General features: G+C 39.7%; 1 protein-coding gene and 1 long non-coding RNA gene across 2 annotated transcripts in view; one reads left to right on the forward strand and one right to left on the reverse strand.

Annotated features, from left to right (window-relative positions):
- Positions 1-7,808: 7,808 nt before the first annotated feature.
- DSEL (dermatan sulfate epimerase like) lies at positions 7,809-17,942 on the reverse strand. The gene is made up of 2 exons (NM_032160.3): positions 17,583-17,942; positions 7,809-16,714 (listed from the first exon to the last, which is right to left on the reverse strand). Exon 2 carries the CDS (start codon positions 15,828-15,830, stop codon positions 12,192-12,194), a length of 3,639 nt encoding a protein of 1,212 aa, NP_115536.2. The 5' UTR covers positions 15,831-16,714; positions 17,583-17,942; the 3' UTR covers positions 7,809-12,191.
- The window catches only part of DSEL-AS1 (DSEL antisense RNA 1), a 383,074-nt gene continuing 382,121 nt past the window's right edge, over positions 17,768-18,720 (forward strand). The window contains exon 1 of the long non-coding RNA NR_033921.1: positions 17,768-17,971. This is a non-coding gene — a long non-coding RNA (DSEL antisense RNA 1). The remainder of the gene's footprint in view (positions 17,972-18,720) is intronic.

Genomic DNA, 18,720 nt, shown 5'->3' on the forward strand with positions numbered 1-18,720 from the left:
GGACAATAGGTTATTCATACAAAATAAAAGTCAGAATAGAGACAACAATTAATATAAAGTAGATTAAATACTTATATATGAAAGACAAAATCTGTGGCAGATGGACTACAATATGACCCCCAAATTATCCCCATCTCCTGGTACTTATGCCTTTGTGTAGCCCCTTCCTTCTGAGTATGGATGGGACCTCTGACGTGCTTTCAACCATTAGAATGCAGCAACTATGATGGGTGTCACTTTCATAATTTATGCTACATTGTTGGCAGAGTTTCTCTATTGACTGTCTTCCTGGCTTTAATGAAGCAAGCTGCTATACGGAGAGGTCCACATGGAAGCTACTAAAGGTGGACCCCAGGCAACAACCAGAAAAGTACTGAAGCTTTAGGTCAAACAATCTATAAGGTACTGAATCCTGCCAACAATCATGTGAGCTTGGAAGCACATGCTTCCCCAGTTGAGTCTCAGATGAGATTGCAGCCCTAGCCAGCAACTTAATTGCAGCTTTGTGAAACACCCTAAAGCAGAGTACCCAACTAAGTCATGGTTGACTCCTGATCTACAGAAACTGTGGGATAATCAATGCATGTTGTTTCAAGCCACTAGGTTTCTGGTAATATTGTTAGGCAGCAATAAATAATTTTAAAAAATGCTTAGGAGAAAATATAGGAGAACATTTTTAGGGCCAACATCTTGGGGAAAAAATTTTAGTAAGATGCAAAAACAGTACACATAATAAAAGAAAACACTGACATGTGTGATTACTTTCAAATTAAGAACACCTGTATATCTAAAGCTATCACAAGGGTCATTATACAAAAATCAAGAACATAAGCCAAAAAGTTATTCAAAATACATATAAACAAAATAGGATTAGTATTCATAATATATAGTAAACTTTAGTGAGTCAATAAAAAATAACTGAATAGAAAAAGGGGTAAAAGAAATGACCCCAATTTCATTCCAGAAAAGAAACACACATGGCAAAAATAAAGGCTATATATGTGAGTTTGGGTGGGTGTGTGGGTTTGGATGGGTGGGTGGGTATAAGTGTACAGGTGCACACACACTTGTGTTTATAAGTTCTAAGTCATTATTAGTCAGAGAAATGTAAATGAAAACCATAAGGTGACATTCTTTTATCCCACCAGACACGGAAATATTAAAAATTCTGTAAATGTCAAGTGCAGAAGAAAATCTAGCACAGAAACTCTTCTATATTGGTGTTAATTTATACAGACAATCTGAAAAATAATTTGGCATTGTCTATAATAGTTGAGGATGTACAGATCATATTAATCCAGAACCTTTCAGCTCTAGATATATATGCTAAAAAGGAAGATTAAGTGGGTGTGGGAGTGAAGGTTCTTAGTACAAACAAACCAACAAAAAAACTAAATTCCTGCACATGTATTTTATGGAACATACTTAAGAATTTTAATAAAAAATTACTTGAATTTGCAAAAACTAGAAATATCCCTAAAATCTATCAAGCAGCTAAAAGATAAGGTATGGCATGTTCCTACAACGGCATATTCATATAATGAATCACTACCATGGTGAAAATATGTGATCTCCACCTACAAACATCACATTAGACAAAATTTTGAGCAAAAAATAAAAGCAAGTTGGATACTAATGGTACAATGTGTTACTGTGACAGTTAGTATTAGGTGTCAACCTGACTAGACTGAGGGATTCCTAGATGGCTGATGAAGCGTTGTTCCTGGGTGTGTCTGTGAGGGTGTTGGCAGAGGAGACTGGCATTTGAGGCAGTGGACTGGGAGAGGAAAACCCACCTTCAATGTGGGGGTGGACACCATCTAATAGGCTGCCAGCAAGGCTAGAAGAAAGCAGGCAGCAGAACTGGGATAGACAGGTTGCTTGCTGAGTTGGCTTGCTCTCTTTCTTTTCCTGCTGTGCCACATACTTGGCTTCCTCTCCTCCTGACCTCGGACATCAGACTCCAGGTTCTTTAGCATTTGGACTTGAACCAGCAGCATGTCAGGGGTTCTCGGGCCTTCAGTCTCAGACTGAATGCTGCACTGTTGGCTTCCCTGGTTTCGAGGCTTTTGGAATTGGACTGAGCAGTGCTACCAGCTTCTCTTTCCCCAGCTGGCAGATGACCTACTCTGGAACTTCCCCTTGTAATCCTATAAACCAATTCTCCCTAACAACCTTATCTTATTGGTTTTGTCCCTTTGGAGAACCCTGACTAATACAGTTAGTATTAAAATAAAATTTACAAACATGCAAAATCATACAGTATGTTGATGAAGATAGAGCTATATATAGTGGAGCTATAAAGAAGAACAAGGAAATGATAAACACAAAATCCAGGACAGAAGTTACCTCTGGGATGGTTGGTGGGAGCAGACAATGTGAAAATGGAAGGTCAGATGGAGGGCTTAACTACTAATATTAACTGCATATTTCTTACAGTGGTTGGTGTGTACACTCATGTCCATTTTATTACTATCTTTCATATTACATATGTTTCATAACATTTTGTAGAATGTGTGAGTATATGAATTCTAAATCTAAATCCCAGTTGTGGCCACAACAACGTATCAATACCATAGGGGAGGGCTTCCAAATTCCCAGCTAGGGTCAATGCATTTTTTTCATTGTCAACATATTAGTGCAATCTATTTTGCATATCCAAATACCTACAGTTCAACAGAGAGGGGCAATAAAGCTCGTATATAAAAGAATCAACACAATAGTGGTATATAACTGCCTAGAGACAACTAATGCAAGGATGTGGGAACAATATCCAATAATAAACAATCACACACAAGGGCTGACTCGCTATTGAGGGTATGTGCCCCACTAGCATAGTACTATGACACTCAGTCCTACTTCAGAGGTGCACACTCTCCTACTCTCCTCACTGAAAGGTGGAGTTTCTGACTGGAGCCTCTGGAATTTGCTCCTTGGTCCCAACATACAAGCCATGAAAAAGAAAGCATCCAAACCTACAAAGCACCAACCAAAAGATGAGATACTGTAGAATTTTATTGCTACCCAAAAAATATGTGTGAATAGCCTGTGAATTAACAGAAAAGTTCATTCTAGGTACTTAATAGTTTTATATTGATATAATCCTCTGTTATGTATGGTGTTAAGGTAATATATACATATACATTTATATGTAATTTGAATACACTTCCTCCAACTGGTTTCCATTTATTCTATCATAGTCAGTGGAGTAAATGTAATTTCTAAAACAAGCTGAGTTTATGTATACTTAACTGGAAAAAATTGAAATGGAAAAAATACAATAATGTAGACAATCACAAATATATGCCTATCAAATGAAGGTACGAATGCAGTTATGCTTAATGTTATGCAAATGGCACCTGTGGCCGGGCAGGGTGGCTCGTGCCTATAATCCTAGCACTTTAGGAGGATGACGGGGCAGATTACCTGAGGTCAGGAGTTTGAGACCAGTCTGGCCAATATGGCAAAACCCTGTCTCTACTAAAAATACAAAAAAATCAGCTTGATGTGGTGGTGGGTGCCTATAATCTCAGCTACTCCAGAGGCTGAGGCACAAGAATCGCTTGAACCCGGGAGGCGGAGGTTGCAGTGAGCCAATATTGTGCCACGGCACTCCAGCCTGGGTGACAGGACTCTGTCTCCAAGAAGAAAAGAAAAAAAAAAAAAGCTCTTGTGACATGGAATAAAACTGAATGACAACATCAAACTTGAATTCAGAAATGTTTGTATCTCAATAAATCTCAGAAATAAGTATACTTTGGAAAAAGACAAAATATGGCTCTGGAAATGAAGATATTGAAGGTGAAGTGAAAGGCTGAATCAAATTTGTTTACTGAAATATGAAGCTTAAAAAAGCAGTATTTCTAAATCATATTAATCATTTCTAAATAATATTGTGTAATTTTTATTTTACAAGTTTGTGCAACTCAATTAATACAGTAAGTACTAAAATAGGTGGCTGATTAGTATAGATATCTACATATCTTAACTATATATGTCAAAATTATTTGAAAATATTTTTAATATTTTCTCACTTAAAAACAGATGCATCATATTTTATATTGGTTTTTCTCTTTGGGCATATACTGTAAGAGAATAAAAGTAAATATACCTCTGCTGCCTCTCTCTCTCTCTCATAATTAAGACAAGAATATTGGAGATGGTCACAAAGAGGAAATAATTACTATAATTAATTTACATACTTTTTGAAAATCCTTGCGCCAACTCTGAGGGAGTTTACTGATAGAAAAATGAAGATTTAAAATTAAGAAACTTGCATAAGACCTCAGAACTAGTAGATACCGACTAGGGGATTTGTACTTATTTCTAATTCCAAAGATCATTATTAAATATAAACTTGTTGTGTCTATTACATTTTCAACGGCAATGTCCCCCTTCAAATTAAGGATGAAAATGGGGGAAAGGTAAAAACAAAGCTTGTGAAAAACCCACCAGTACAACCTGCTGCTTGCACAGAGAAAACCTTATGCCTCTTAAGGTAATGAAATTTTAAGTTTGTGTATGTGTATACAAGCACGCATCTTTTTATTCATGTGTTCAACAATAGGATATTTTAGATAGTTTTATAATTACCGTTAGGAAACAGTCAAAGTAACAACTGGATATGTGTACATTTCAGTTTACTTCAGTAAATCTAGAGAGATAATCAGAAGTTAGTTGGTGTACATAAGCCAACTGTAAGCATGTTGTGCTCCAGTTAGCACTGAACTAGCCAGGGTGCCCAGATTAATGTTTAAAAATAACAGTAAAAACCTTCTGTTTTGTTTATGTGGGGTTAACTTATAGTAGCTATATCCTTTGTATGAACTTATATTTTAATGTGTATCCCCTCAAAGCAATTTCATCATTTCTTGGTTGTATTGTTTTTATACATATAAATCTCCCTTCAATGTTAAGTGAAATATTGCATTAAAGCATCAAATTAAAATGGTCCATAAAGTTAAACTAACCATATTTTAAAGTTGCAAGCAATGTAAACAAATCTAGAGAAAAAGTAATCTTTTGGAACAGAGTGAAGGAATGAACATATTAAAACAAAAAAAAATCAATAAAACTTGGCATTAATTTTTCAGTATAGTACAAGGGTTTGGAGCATTATTTGCATAGTGCAATGAACAAGGTAAAAATAAACTTATTGTTCATCAAGGGGTGTCAGATTTTAATGCAAGGATTGAAAAGTTTATGTTTCTCATTTAGCAAATGAGAGAAGTGCCAGTAATAGGAGCCAAATTGACTTCCAAAAAGAGAAACAAGGAGCATTAAAGATGTTGCATGACCATGAATATTTCCCTCTTTAAACCATAAAGAATAATGTATGTATCCCGAGGTCAGAAACAGAGCAAAACACAATATATGAGAGGACACTGGCTTATCTAGGACAGTTGAAAACCTGAGACATTAGGTGAAATTCAACATCAGTGTTAATACAGTTGAAAGAAAAATTACATTCAAGAGTCAGCAATACAGAAATCGTTTAAAGAAATAGTATAAAATAGGAAGAACAATTGCCATGTACTGTGAAACAGTATCGGCTTAGATTATAATTTATCTTTCTGTCCTACCAAGTATCATCTTCCCTAATATTTCAGTCTTTTAAATAGTTGATACAATAATTAACACACCATTGTTATTGGAATGATTCTCCTTGAGTACTTTATTTGCTGTGTTCAGATTTAGGGTTTCTCCTTTCTTCCCATTTCACTCCTTTCCTCCCTCCTTTGTTTCCTTTCTTCTGTCATTATTTAGAAGACAGGGAAAAGAACAACAGAGTGTTGTTTTTCCCCTAAAACAAACTCTATTTGAATGTATTTGATCAACTGTTAGTCACAGAATTCACAGCATTCGCTTCTACTTGGTATAGCCTCCTTTATGCTGGGAAATTTGTGAAAAGTGGAAAAAGAATGTTTCTTTTTAGTTCCCTCTAAGCTGTCAGCTTCATGGAGGTAGAGCCCATGTATACTTTGTTCACCATTGCATTCCCAGGATTGAGAGCTGTGCCTGGCACTTTGGATCTGGAGGTCTCAGGGAGGGGGAGAGAAGGAAAAGAAAAGCCTGACGGAGCCTGAATCAAATACACTGAGTTGTCCATCTTACTGCCATTACTAGCAATGGTCTACACACAGGCCAGTCAGACCACACTCAGGCCTTTTTTTTTTCTCTCTCTCTCCAGGGCATTCCTTGATATTCAAATACAGAGCAAACTTGGGGTAGTTGAGTGAATGGGAATGGCAAGAGTGAGTTCCAGTGGTTTTATTCTATTTGCACTTATGGATAACCCAGAATCTCTCTTAGAAGATTGATGGGATGTGCTGTGAGAAGTATATAGTCAAAACCTAGTGGTGATCGCTACTCAAATTTACCTATCATAATTCCCCCTAGTTAATTGATATGTTAGAATGTTAGGGAAACTTACCTCTGGAAGTAGCGTTATACTCCCTTCTATTAAAAGAAAAAAAGAAAAAGAAAAAAAAAGCATCTTCAATGTGCTAACCTTGTGCATCACTTTAGTGATGTATACCTCAAGTAACTTGCAAGAAGTTTCTTCTTTTTCCTCATAACCGTGCTGTTTCAGAAATAAATAAGCCATGTCTACTATAGAACAGCTACCACTTCTTGGGGCTTTTCCTTGGGTGGTAATCACTACCTTGCATGCCCCTCCTCTCACTCTTTCTCTTCCTGATGAATTCCTAAGAGTTTCAAAGTCTCTAGAGAGATTGCCAATTCCTCACTGAGGATATTCATAGTCAATTGATTTTTATGTTCTTCCTTTATGCTAATCAGTACCTTGACAGTAGATACATTGATTGTTCCTTTTATTCAAAAGTACCCGTTGATTCAAAAGTAACAAAAGTGTGGTGAATAGGCAAATAAATAATGAATTATAAATCCATTCAAAATTCCTTCAAAAAACTTTAGAACTGAAAAAACATGTGCCTAAATCTTGGTCAAACCACTTATCAGCTGATTTGCTTTGGACAAATCACTTGACATGAGTTTCAAACATATATGTAAAATAACTACTTGATAGAGTTGTTGTGAGGATTGTAATGATACACAAAAACCTTATGATTCAATGTGCAGCACATATTAAGTGATTAATTCATGACAGATCCTTATCCAAAGTAAACCAATTATTGACAATTCAGTCAACATTTAAACAGGCAGTAAACAGCCCACATATTAATTGTCTTGATATCTTAGAATGTTAGGGAACCTTACCTCTGGAAGTAGTGTTAAATCCCTTCTATTAAAAAAAAAAAAAGCGGCGTGAACCCGGGAGGCGGAGCTTGCAGTGAGCCGAGATCCCGCCACTGCACTCCAGCCTGGGCGACAGAGCGAGACTCCGTTTCAAAAAAAAAAAAAAAAAAAAAAAAAAAAAAAAGCATCTTCAATGTGCTAACCTTGTACATCACTTTAGTGATGTATACCTCAAGTAACTTGCAAGAAGTTTCTTCTTTTAGTGATATCATGCCTGAATGAAGATCTTACTAGCAGCAGGAAGGGCAGATGTAGAATACAGATTCTTAATACAGGTACATCCTTGCCATTTAGAAAGTTGCAGTCAGGACCTGGAATTAAGTTAGGGGAACAGAGACTCGAGAGTCAGGGGTTGGGGGAGGTGGAGAAGGACCAAGTTCAGTTGCTAAAATTCTGGGTTTGGGGATCGGTATTCAACTTGTCCTGCATTTTCCAACTGCTGGTTCCTCAGCTCCATACAAAATCTTAATAGCATTACTCAAAGACCTAGGGAAAAGGGGTAAGATAAAATTATCCCAATCATAGACAAGTTGCTTTTAGCTTTTTATTTTTGTATTAACAGGAGTCTTATTACACATAGGTCTGATAAAACTGGTTTATGATCTTCAGTCTGTTTCCAGTGCTGCATAACTAGATAACGTATGAAGGAAAAACGACGACGAACAAAAAATTAATTGCTTGGAAGACTTAGTTGAATCTATCCATGAAAACAGAATCAATTAAACATGTATGTGTTACTTAGACTAAATATAAATAACCCATATAAATGGTAGCTCAAACATCTCAAGTGTTTCAGAGAATGTTAGAATCTATTGTTTGAAGTGTCTATTGTACTCTATGCAAAAATCCAAAGTCATTTGCGTCTTTAAAAATGATATGGATAATTTTTCTTCCGAAATGAAGTGAAATCATGATTAATCAGATATATCAGACAATTTGGTCAACATTTAAATAAGCAGCTAATAGCCCACATATTAAGTGTCTTGATATCTTAGAATGTCAGGTACCCTTGCCAGGTGTGGTGGCTCATGCCTGTAATCCCAGCATTTTGGGAGGCCCAGGTGGGCAGATCACCAGGTCAAGAGATTGAGACCAGCCTGACCAATGTGGTGAAACGCTGTCACTACTAAAAATACAAAAATGAGCCAAGCATGGTGGCGTGCACCTGTAATCCCAGCTATTCAGGAGGCTGACGTAGGAGAATCACTTGAACCCGGTAGGCGGAGGTTGCAGTGAGCCGAGATCAGACCACTGCACTCCAGCCTGGGCAACAAAGTGAGACTCCATCCCAAAAAAAAAAAAAAAAAAAAAAAAAAGAATGTTAGGTATCCTTACCTTTGGAAGTGGTGTTATACTGCATTCTATTTATGCTTTTTCCTAAATCAACAAATGAAAACGTTTCTATTTCTGATCAAAGTTAATCAAGCCAAACAAAGCAATTCAAAAATTATCATTAATATTTACTCACTTAAAATTGTGATATACTTTGTATACCAAGAATGCCAAAGATACTTGGTGATGTACAGAAATCGTTGCTGAACAATTATGCCAACCAAAAGTAAGTGGTGGAGGAGGTTCTTCTTTGAATACATTTGCAGAGGGCAATGTAGCAAGACCTGGGAATTTTGATACAAGGAAGGATTGTCCCATTCTTGTCAGGCATTTATTAGTTATTCTCTATGTAAAAGGACAATCAAATGTCTAATATTTTGGTGTCCACACCTAAACGTACATATTGTTGTGTCATCACTTTGTTAAAATTTAAATTTTAAATTAAATTCTACAAACTAAATCTATGCAGATTTAGCTTCTTTCTCCTGAGCAGATTTTCCTATTTCCTCTGAGTTTTCATTAAATTCAACTCTGAATATGGCCTTTTTATTTCATCTTGAGTAAATCTATGTTGTTTGAAAATTTAAAAAGCCAATTATCATTATATTTGTTACTTCACTTTTGTCAGCAAAATTAATAAGTCCTTTCAAAATTTTAAAATTTCAATCCTATTATTATAATAAAAGCAATTATCTCAATTAGGCCTATGTTTGGGGAAGTTAATGTAGAAAAAGACGGATTTTACAGATAAGAAATTTTGTAAGTGTTTCTTTCAGAAGTATCAGATAGTGATAATCCCTCTTTTAATTATTTCAAAGAACAAAAATAAGAGTAGAAGCTATTTAAAATTTTCCTAGATCACCCTAAGGGTGCAGGACCTGGGAACATGCTGGGAGAGTCAATCCCCTTAGGAATTCTGTTTCTAAGGCAGGGGTCTCAGGCACCATCACATGCATACATACCCAATGGATGTGTCACCCGCTCACCCATACATAACATTCCTTACAGAACAATCTGTGAGTGGACGCTTTCTCCAGCAAACTTTCTATTTTAGAATAACTAAATAGTAGGGTTCATGTCTAAAATTTTCCCTTGGGGTGGGAGTAGGTGAGTACAGAAACAAGTAAATACAACTCTGCATTGCCATGTGGGGGTGAAAGCTGGGATACATTGTAAAGATCATTTTCGTAAGCCTGTACCTTTCTTTTGCTATCAATGACGTGTTCCCATATTCATTCTCAGTGTAACTCATTTTCTTTTTCATTTTCTGTAACTCTTCTTTCCCTATTACTCCACATACTCCATCTGGCCTTCTCCTGCCAACAGGTACATTTCTTTTTTTCTTTTTTTTTTTTTTTTGAGGCGGAGTCTCGCTCTGTCGCCCAGGCTGGAGTGCAGTGGCGCATCTCCACTCACTGCAAGCTCTGCCTCCCAGGTTCATGCCATTCTCCTGCCTCAGCCTCCCGTGTAGCTGGGACTACAGGTGCCCGCCACCACGCCCGGCTAATTTTTTGTACTTTTTTTTTTAGTAGAGACGGGGTTTCACCGTGTTAGCCAGGATGGTCTTGATCTCCTGACCTCGTGATCCACCCGCCTCGGCCTCCCGAAGTGCTGGGATTACAGGCGTGAGCCACTGCACCCGGCCGCCAACAGGTACATTTCTGTATTGTCTGTACAATGTTAAAATAAAGGGAACAGTAGTTTCTGCTTTCTTGCTTGCTACCTGCATGCAATTGTAATTCCTACCTTGATCAGATCTAATACTACTGACAATCCAGACTTTTTATATGTGATCTGATTCACGATCACATATCCTAGGAATTGAAAGTAAACACTGAGATTCTGCCCAATAATGGAAATAGTGTTATCAACCATGTAGCATGCAATATTCATGTAGATATTATCCAAGTAGCATTTTATATGCTTGCCGGTAACTCTGAGATAGAATGAATAATCTTTCTTGAGATTACTAGTGTAGATTCAGGTCTTCAGTGCCCTCTCAACCTACATTCACATGAATTTCATTCATTTTGAAATTACAGAGGGACAATCATGAGAGATATGGGAAGGAATATGTTGGGGAGGGGGGGCAGTCTCCACTCACACTATAATGGAAGAAAAATGACAGCCAAGTTAGGTTTAGCTGGAATCTAACATATACAGAGCTTTATCACTCTGGAGGCACATTTTGACATAATAATAACTACTGAGAAAGAACCACTTTTATCTAGGTCAGAATGACAGACTTCCAAGTGTTAGAGAGCTTGGGGGAACCACAGTTTGAAACATCAGGAAGAAGACTGCAATCTGTACAGAGATTTTCATCAAGTCTCCACACTGCCTTATGTTTTCATCCAATACATTGTAATTACTCCACTGGCTTATAATGGCGTAGCATTTTGATTTCAGAGCCTACCAAAATAAAATAAACCACACTTTATGACGACTACATTTATAATAAGATGCAGATGGTAAAGGAAACAGATGCCTCTGACATCATCTCCCATTTGCTTTCAACTTTTGCAGACACTGGCAGTCTGTAAACTCATTCAAAGGGATGCAAGATAAGTCAGGCAGTTTTCCAATTCTGTTTCCAGTTTAAAAAGACACTGCAGTGGCACTACTTTGAGTCACAGAGTGTTAATTCCAGAAAAATAAATTTGATTCTAAGTCTGTGTCAGTCTTTAACGCAAAATTAATCAACTGGGGGGAAAATGCCCCACAATATTGAGAGTTCAGCGATTAGTAACTACTGATTGTTTTGCTTGACAGTGACAGAAAGGATAGGATGGGAGTGATGTGATGGCGAACAGCTGTAGCTCCAGGGAGGATAAAAAGTGAAAGGAGAGTTTTAAACAGACAATCATGTCTAAAATAATCTACCAGCCCTTGCCACCCAGATTGTTCAAAGACTTATTCCTTATATTTCTAAGTAAAAAACTTCAAGGAGGCTTTTAAAGTCAGTTTCCGACCTCAAAAAAACATATTCATTCTGTATTTCCATCTGTATTTCCCAGAAGAAATCCTATAGTTCTGATAGGAGCTTTCACCATTTCCTCAGTGATATCACTGAACATTAAACACAGTAAAAGAAATTTTCTTTTTCTTTGTGCAAGATAAGTGTGTCAGAAGACCTTTTCAAAAGGATAAGGAACTTTTGTAGTCCATCTTGAAAGCAAGAGATGCGTGGGTAAAGCAGCAATTGCAAGGCCTTTAGCAGTGTTTGAGGTCTCTAGATAGATTAGCACAGTTACAGATGAAGGGGAGTTAGACAAAAACTTAAAATTTTCCCATCTCCCCTGACCCCATGATATAACTTCATCTACCACTCTGTAGCAGAAACTTTTTAGCAGACAAAATTTTCAGAAACAAAGGCAAGGGAGGTGATGACATAAAAATAAATCCTGCTAGGCCAAATATGGTGCCATTTTTTAAAACAATCTCTCTGTGCAAACAACACTGAACACATACACGCGTGCACACACACACACACACTAAAGAATAAACAAACTCTTCTGATTCATATCCACAAAGTGGGTTGGTAAGTATTATTAGTGCAAATTTCTGCTGACCTGCAGCATTTAGTCCATAAACTTTGGATATCCTAGGCGATCCATCAGAGTCCAGCAGATGTTTTCAATTAGTTTAATTTCATCTCTAGGCAAGTTCTGTTTCCAAACATTAGTATTAGTTGGTGATATTTCCCCTTCATAGGGAAGGTAAAAAAGGTTTGTAGAGGTGGCAAACAATATTTGGTTTAAACTAGCAGGAGACAAAGGAATTCCAAGAAAGGCAAAAATCCTTTCAGTAGTTTTCTGAGGAAAATGCACAATATCTTCAAACTTGACCAGCTGGTAGCTAGTAGGCAGCAAATCTGTATTTATTCTCAAGGCTGCTGCTGTATTTGCTAGCCACAAGTGAGACAAGAGGGACACTGCATTTGATTTGGATTTTGATAATTCTTTCCTCAATGGTTCATACTCGAAAGCATAACCCGAATTTAAGTTACATTTGCCTTTACCTCCCTCTATTTTAAACAATTTTGCTAAATGCTCTGGTACATTCTTCAAAGAATAAAGACTTGGTTTACTATTGTACAACATTGAATAAATCCATGCCCGAGGGTCTCTTACTATGTACAATGCCCTCATCGAAGCTCCTAAAACTTCCTGAAAAAAATGAAGCTTTAACGTCCAGCTTCCACTGCTTAAACTGAGCACAGGACGTGCACTTGGATAGTAAACCAGGTGTCTCCTCAAAGCCCTAATATATTCAGCATCTCTATCAAAGGCGCCTTTCATTTGACTTCTTTGTTCTGGCAAAGACTCTCTCCTTTTAAATTTTCTTTTTTTGTCCTTATTCATTGCAAAATATTGGGCCAGTTTACCCCTATTGGGTTCATGCAGATGGATGTTTTGCAAATGTAATTTTGTGTCCTGGACTAAAGACTGCAACCAGCCTCGGAGTAAACGAAAATGCCCACTGCGGATATCTGACACCTTCCATTCACAAGCATCTACAAATGAGTCGATTTCCAACTCAGTTTCAGGAATATCAATGTAGGCTGTAGGAACCCTGATGTAGAGAAAATCACTACTGTTGAAAAAAAGTTGTTTGAGAATTTCAGCTCCTGAACCAGGAAGTGAGGTAATGACAACATCAGGAAGATCCATGTGGTGCCCTTCAGAAGACAAAGACTTCTTGCTTCCCTCAGCCTCTGTCCTTGTCCATTTTGCACAAATGGGCTGACTACAAGTGCTCCACACATCCAAAAGCTCAATAAACCACAAGGCAATAACAAGTATTAATATCCATCGCATTAGTTTTCTAAAAGAAAGGTAAAAACGCCATTGGAAAGTTAAAATCACCAAGCTAATGCACAAAATTAATCCAACTGCTATATTAAATTTAAATCCAAAGGGGAAAATAATCCTATCATGTCTTACAGGCTTTACTATTGCTTGAGTGCCCAAACCAAATCGGGTTATTTGGCCTTGATCAGCCACACTGGCAAAGCCACCGAATCCCAGATAATTGAATCTTGTCTTCAGGTTATGGTAATCAGTTACAATAGAAACAACATGTTCAGTATTATTGACATTGAGAGAAATCTGAAGTCCAGGATTGGAACTATCAATAAATCTGCAGCTGGAGACATTGATATATGGCCCATAAAAGACATATGCAATTCTTGTGATTGTGGGTTCCATCTGAAAAGTAACATTAACAAATTGAGTCCATCGTTTTTTAAATTCAGCAGCTTGCTCTGCTTCCTGTATACTGGCCATGGGACTATTGCCATGATGATCAAACCAAAACATTTTGTAATGTGCATCCCACACATCCATCATGGCACCATTATACCTATTCATAAACTTATATGGGATATATTTAAAATCAATATCCAAATTATGAAAGAAGGCACTGACAGAATTTATTGGGGAATCTTCTTGCCTCTCAATATGATCAACAACTAGCAGAGTTTGGGAATTTAAGAGAAGCAAAGCACGATATACACTTTTCAGTCTCATTGCTGAAGAATAAGCAGACACGGCTTCCCCACTCACAAATACCATTTCCCCATGTTGAGAGGCAGTGATTATTTCCCCAGCTGCATCACCAACCTCCTCGCCAGTCCACTTAAGCCACTGCGCACATTCTCCCAGTTGACCTTCCCAGGGCTTATTACACTGGCTTGAGGGTGATGGAGCAAACACCAATACATTGTTAAGGTGGCTCAACTTGGGTCCATAGAGAGCTTCAGAAACAAATACTTGTCCATTGGGGGCAAAAGTAAATGAGTTCTGATCTGGATGCTCATGTCCTGGGTTAAAACTTCTCCACCCATCAATCCAGGAATATGGCTGAAAATGAACTATGTCATACACAGCTCGTCCCCCCAGCTTCCCAGATTTAAAAGACACAAAGGTGTTGGTCTGTGTGTTTGGCAACCCAGCCCCATAAGTAACCACACCCCAGTTAGGGAATGTGTGTATTTTTGCAGTACCATAATCAGCAGGTGGCTGTGGTGTGAGCTGGGGATCATACCAGATGTATTCAGTGTGAAGAGTACTCCACCTTTGGGCAGTTGAAGGAACCATCGGTCCATCTTTAGGTCGGTGCTTTCTAATTTGCTGAGCTAACCAATTTCCAGCTCCATTCTTTAAGATGAACTTATCCAAGAAAACTAGCTGGCTTTCTGGACCATAAAACCAATTATAATTGGAATCTGCTATACCCACAGTTCTTTGGAAGCCAGGTAAAAGGGTGGCATAATAGAACCAAAAGTGCATCTTTAACCAGTTATTATCCAAGTTGTTGATATTAAAATGGCGCTGGGCCAGAAAAACATACTGTGTGACGGATTTAGCTGTGTAGCTTCCATAGGCCACACCTTCATCCAAAGAACCATCAACAATATGATTCAATAGAAACATTGTCTTTTCCATGACATCCACTACAGCCTGTTTCCATATATTTGCTTTAGATCCTTTATCTACTCCAGTCACCAAGGCCCCTGTGAGTAATGCTATCATATTAGTGGCTTGGTGGTTATGGAGAAGCTGTTTGCCCCATGAGCGGACCTTGGAATACTCGTACATTTCCTCAGTAATAACCCATATTTTTTCCAGGTATTTTTGTCTTCGATGATTATCTAATAAGTTATATAAAAAGTCAAAGGCAGTGGCAAAACCTGTTAAGGAATGGCCAATTGGAACCTCATCTCCTGGTGCATTCTCTACTAGCCAGTCTTTGTAGCCAACCATCCTGTCCATATATTCCAAGACAAATTCAAAGGCAACTTTGTCTTCTGGGCATAACAAACAGTACAATGCTAAAGGAGGCAGATTGTTACCATAAATTTCATTCCACTTGGCAGCAAAATCAGCATGCTTTGGTGGAGGTAGGTAGTATGTTGGGTTGGACAGCATAACTGTCACTGCACTTCTGATAGCTCTAAAAAGATGCAAATGGCTTGCACGAGACTTTTGTCTCATTGCTTGGATTTCTCCAGCATCAAAATATAAACTTGGATGAAGCATACTTTTCTTCAGCTTTTGGTTGGGTCTGAAATCTTGCACTTTCTGTGTTTTAAACTGATCTATATCATCTGTGAAAACTGCCCATTCGGAATAATTGCTCACAGATTCCTCAAAAGTAGAGAAAGCAAACATCAATAATGCTAAGAATAGTAAATGTCCTGTAAACATTAACGCCATGATCCATGGGGGAGCTCCTCCCTTAGGCATACATGTCAGATATGATGCTCAATGTGTTTCCCATCTGGTTAGTATAAAACATACAGTAAAGGCCTTGATAAGACAAAGACTGTAAATCTGATATGCTGTGAAATCCAGCTGACATTCAGTACATTTTAAGCAAGTGCAGTTGCCAAAAAGAGAAAACTTAAATTGTATATCTCTGTCCCTGGCACAGTTTTGCTTCCAGTAAAACTTTGAATAACGTTAAAATCTCTAATTTTTCCATAATACACAGGGAAGTGATACAGGTAAAAAACACTATGAATTTAGCATTTACCTCCTTTACTTAAATCTATTTAACACAAAGAGTTGGAACACACATTGTAAAAAAAGAGAAAAAGCACTCCAAAATTCAAATTAAGAGTCATTTCTAGCACAGAAAACCATCACTGGTGATAAGCTCACCACACATGTATGATGCATTTGTGTATGTTTGCCCAAAGAAGATGATGAAGTACTGACATTCTTCGAGTGAGTGGACTCAGTTGTCATTCCTCTCAACTTTTTATACTTCTTGTCTTGTGAATACGTTTTTCTTTCATTTATGAGAGAGAAACATCCTCAACAAGTGATCAAAGTCTTAGTTGGTTTTTAAAAATTCAAAATTCTTGCCTTCATTTCAAATATTTTTCAGGCTTACTTACTCATCAGCCTATTATGACAAAGAGAAATCATGTTCACATCTTCTTTTATCAGCTTCATGTGTACAAACATAAAAATGGAATATCTTCAGTCACCTAGATACTTCTCGTCCGATCATGAAGTAACCGCCAACGGGGAAAGAAAATTCCCCTTTCAGCAACAGTGAGGTCTCTCTTCTGCTCTTTTTTCATGACACTTTTCTGGGGATGGGGGACAAAATAAAAATTCTCTGAGGCTTCAGGTATGCTGAGAATGAATATAAACTGATGACTTAAACATTCTGCAATCACTTAATAGAAATTTTAGAATCACAGTAAAATCTCATATTATCTGCAACCTAAGCTAGGGCAAGTGATTTTTTTCTTATCCATTTACACGCACTTATTTGGAAACCAGTGACCGTCAGCAGAAGACAAGCAACTAACAATACAAAATATACAAGATAGAACTCTCCCGACAATATCTATAGTTTAACGCCACTAACGTGGCTTCAGTCACTTAAAAAATGTTTGTATTCAAATGCAGTTTACACAAAGATGAGTCCTGCTATCCTTGTTATTTCTTGTTCCCAAGGACCGAGGGACAAAAAACTGAAAGTTGAAAAGATCTTTTTTTTTTTTTTTTTTTTTAATTCCGGGGGAAGGTTTAGAGTTCATGGGATCAGAAGGTATCTTCCTAATGAGAACTACTCGGACCAGTCACTTTTCTCGGCGGGGTAACCGCGAATCGTGACCAGGCGCCAAGCCGAGGGGCGGGAGCTCCGCGCTCGGCGCTCACCTGTGGCCGAGTCCCTGTCCTCAGGTGGAGCCGCCAGAGGGAGCTCGGACCCCGGTGTCGAAAGACGCCTCTCCGTGCCCGTCCGCGGCTGGAAGAACCTAAGCAAGTTTCAGTCTTGGACAAGTCTCCCCTCTGTAGGAAACATTCAGGCTAGGAGTTTCCTGATCCGCCCCGCCTGTTGCATTTTTTCACTGGCGTCCTCCGACCCTGCCGCCCCCATTCTCCGCTCCCCGCTCTGGGGCTGAGTGAGGCAGGATGGCGAGAGACCCCTGAGCCACCAAGTCCGCTTACCTCAGGCAGATCCCGACGGGGGCTCGGCGCCGCACTGGGCCCCAAGGGAGACGGAGGTGGAGAGTTCCAGAAAACTGCTCTGCACGGCGGGCCAGGCTCCCGCGGGGCTCCGCAAGACCCCCGCGTCGTCTCCCGCGCTACGGCAGGCGCTGCCCCAGCTCGGTCTCCTCAGCCGCGCTCGGTCCCCGCGACCCGCACGGCCCGGACACGCCCGCCCTCAGGAAACGCCGGACGCTTGTGGGGGCAACCACGGACCGCAGGACAGAGACCCGCGGGCGGCGGGTTCTCTCGGTGGCGCCGTATCCAGAGCAGCGCCCGCGTGCCCAGGCGGTGATGTCGCCGCGGCCGAGGATCCTCTGTGCCAGCTCCGGCCGCGCAGCCCGGGGAGGGTGAGACGGCGACGCGGGCCGGCAAGCGGGGGCGGGGCGGAGGCAGGACGGGGCGGGGTTGAAGGCGGGGCTGAAGGCGGGGCCTCAGGGAAGGCGAGAGACAGCGACGCTGGCTGGCGGGCGTGGGGCGGGACGGAGACAGGACAGGGCGGGGTCAGAGGCGGGGCTTCGGGGAGGACGGGAGGAGCCGTGAGCAGGCCGGCGGCGGGCGGGGCGGGGCCGAAAGCAGGTGAGGCGGGGCCAAGCGCCCCGGGTTTCTAAGCGGAGGAAGCTCTAGGCGTTTGTGTTCTGGGCTTGCAGCGGTGGCCGCGCGCTCCCGGAGGAGTCGAGCTGGAGGAGGGGACAGTTTGGGAGTGCGAGAGTCTAAAGACGCTGCCAGGCTGGCGTTAAAACCTTTTGGTTATGGGAAGACGACAACTATATAATAGAGCCATAGTGGGGGCTGTGGGATTGACTCAAATGATGGGAGGAGCTGGAGTGGGAGGGGATAAGCCCTGGGACGACAGAAATCATCCTTTTGGAAAGAGCAAGGGCTGGGGAAGGAGGGAATGAGCACTCCCTTGGAACTGAGAGGCAGCCTGGCTGAGCTTGCTGTCCTTTGGAAAAGCAAAACCGAAATACCCAGATTAATATAGGAGGACAACTTCTGTAGCCCAGATGCTAACAAAGATCAAGGGAAAACAGAAAAGACTAATCAGCTTTACTGATGGAAAACAATTTCTCAGGCAGTATAAATAGGGGAAGCATGG

Source organism: Homo sapiens, chromosome 18 (assembly GCF_000001405.40).
Source record: "Homo sapiens chromosome 18, GRCh38.p14 Primary Assembly".
Lineage (NCBI taxonomy): Eukaryota > Metazoa > Chordata > Mammalia > Primates > Hominidae > Homo > Homo sapiens.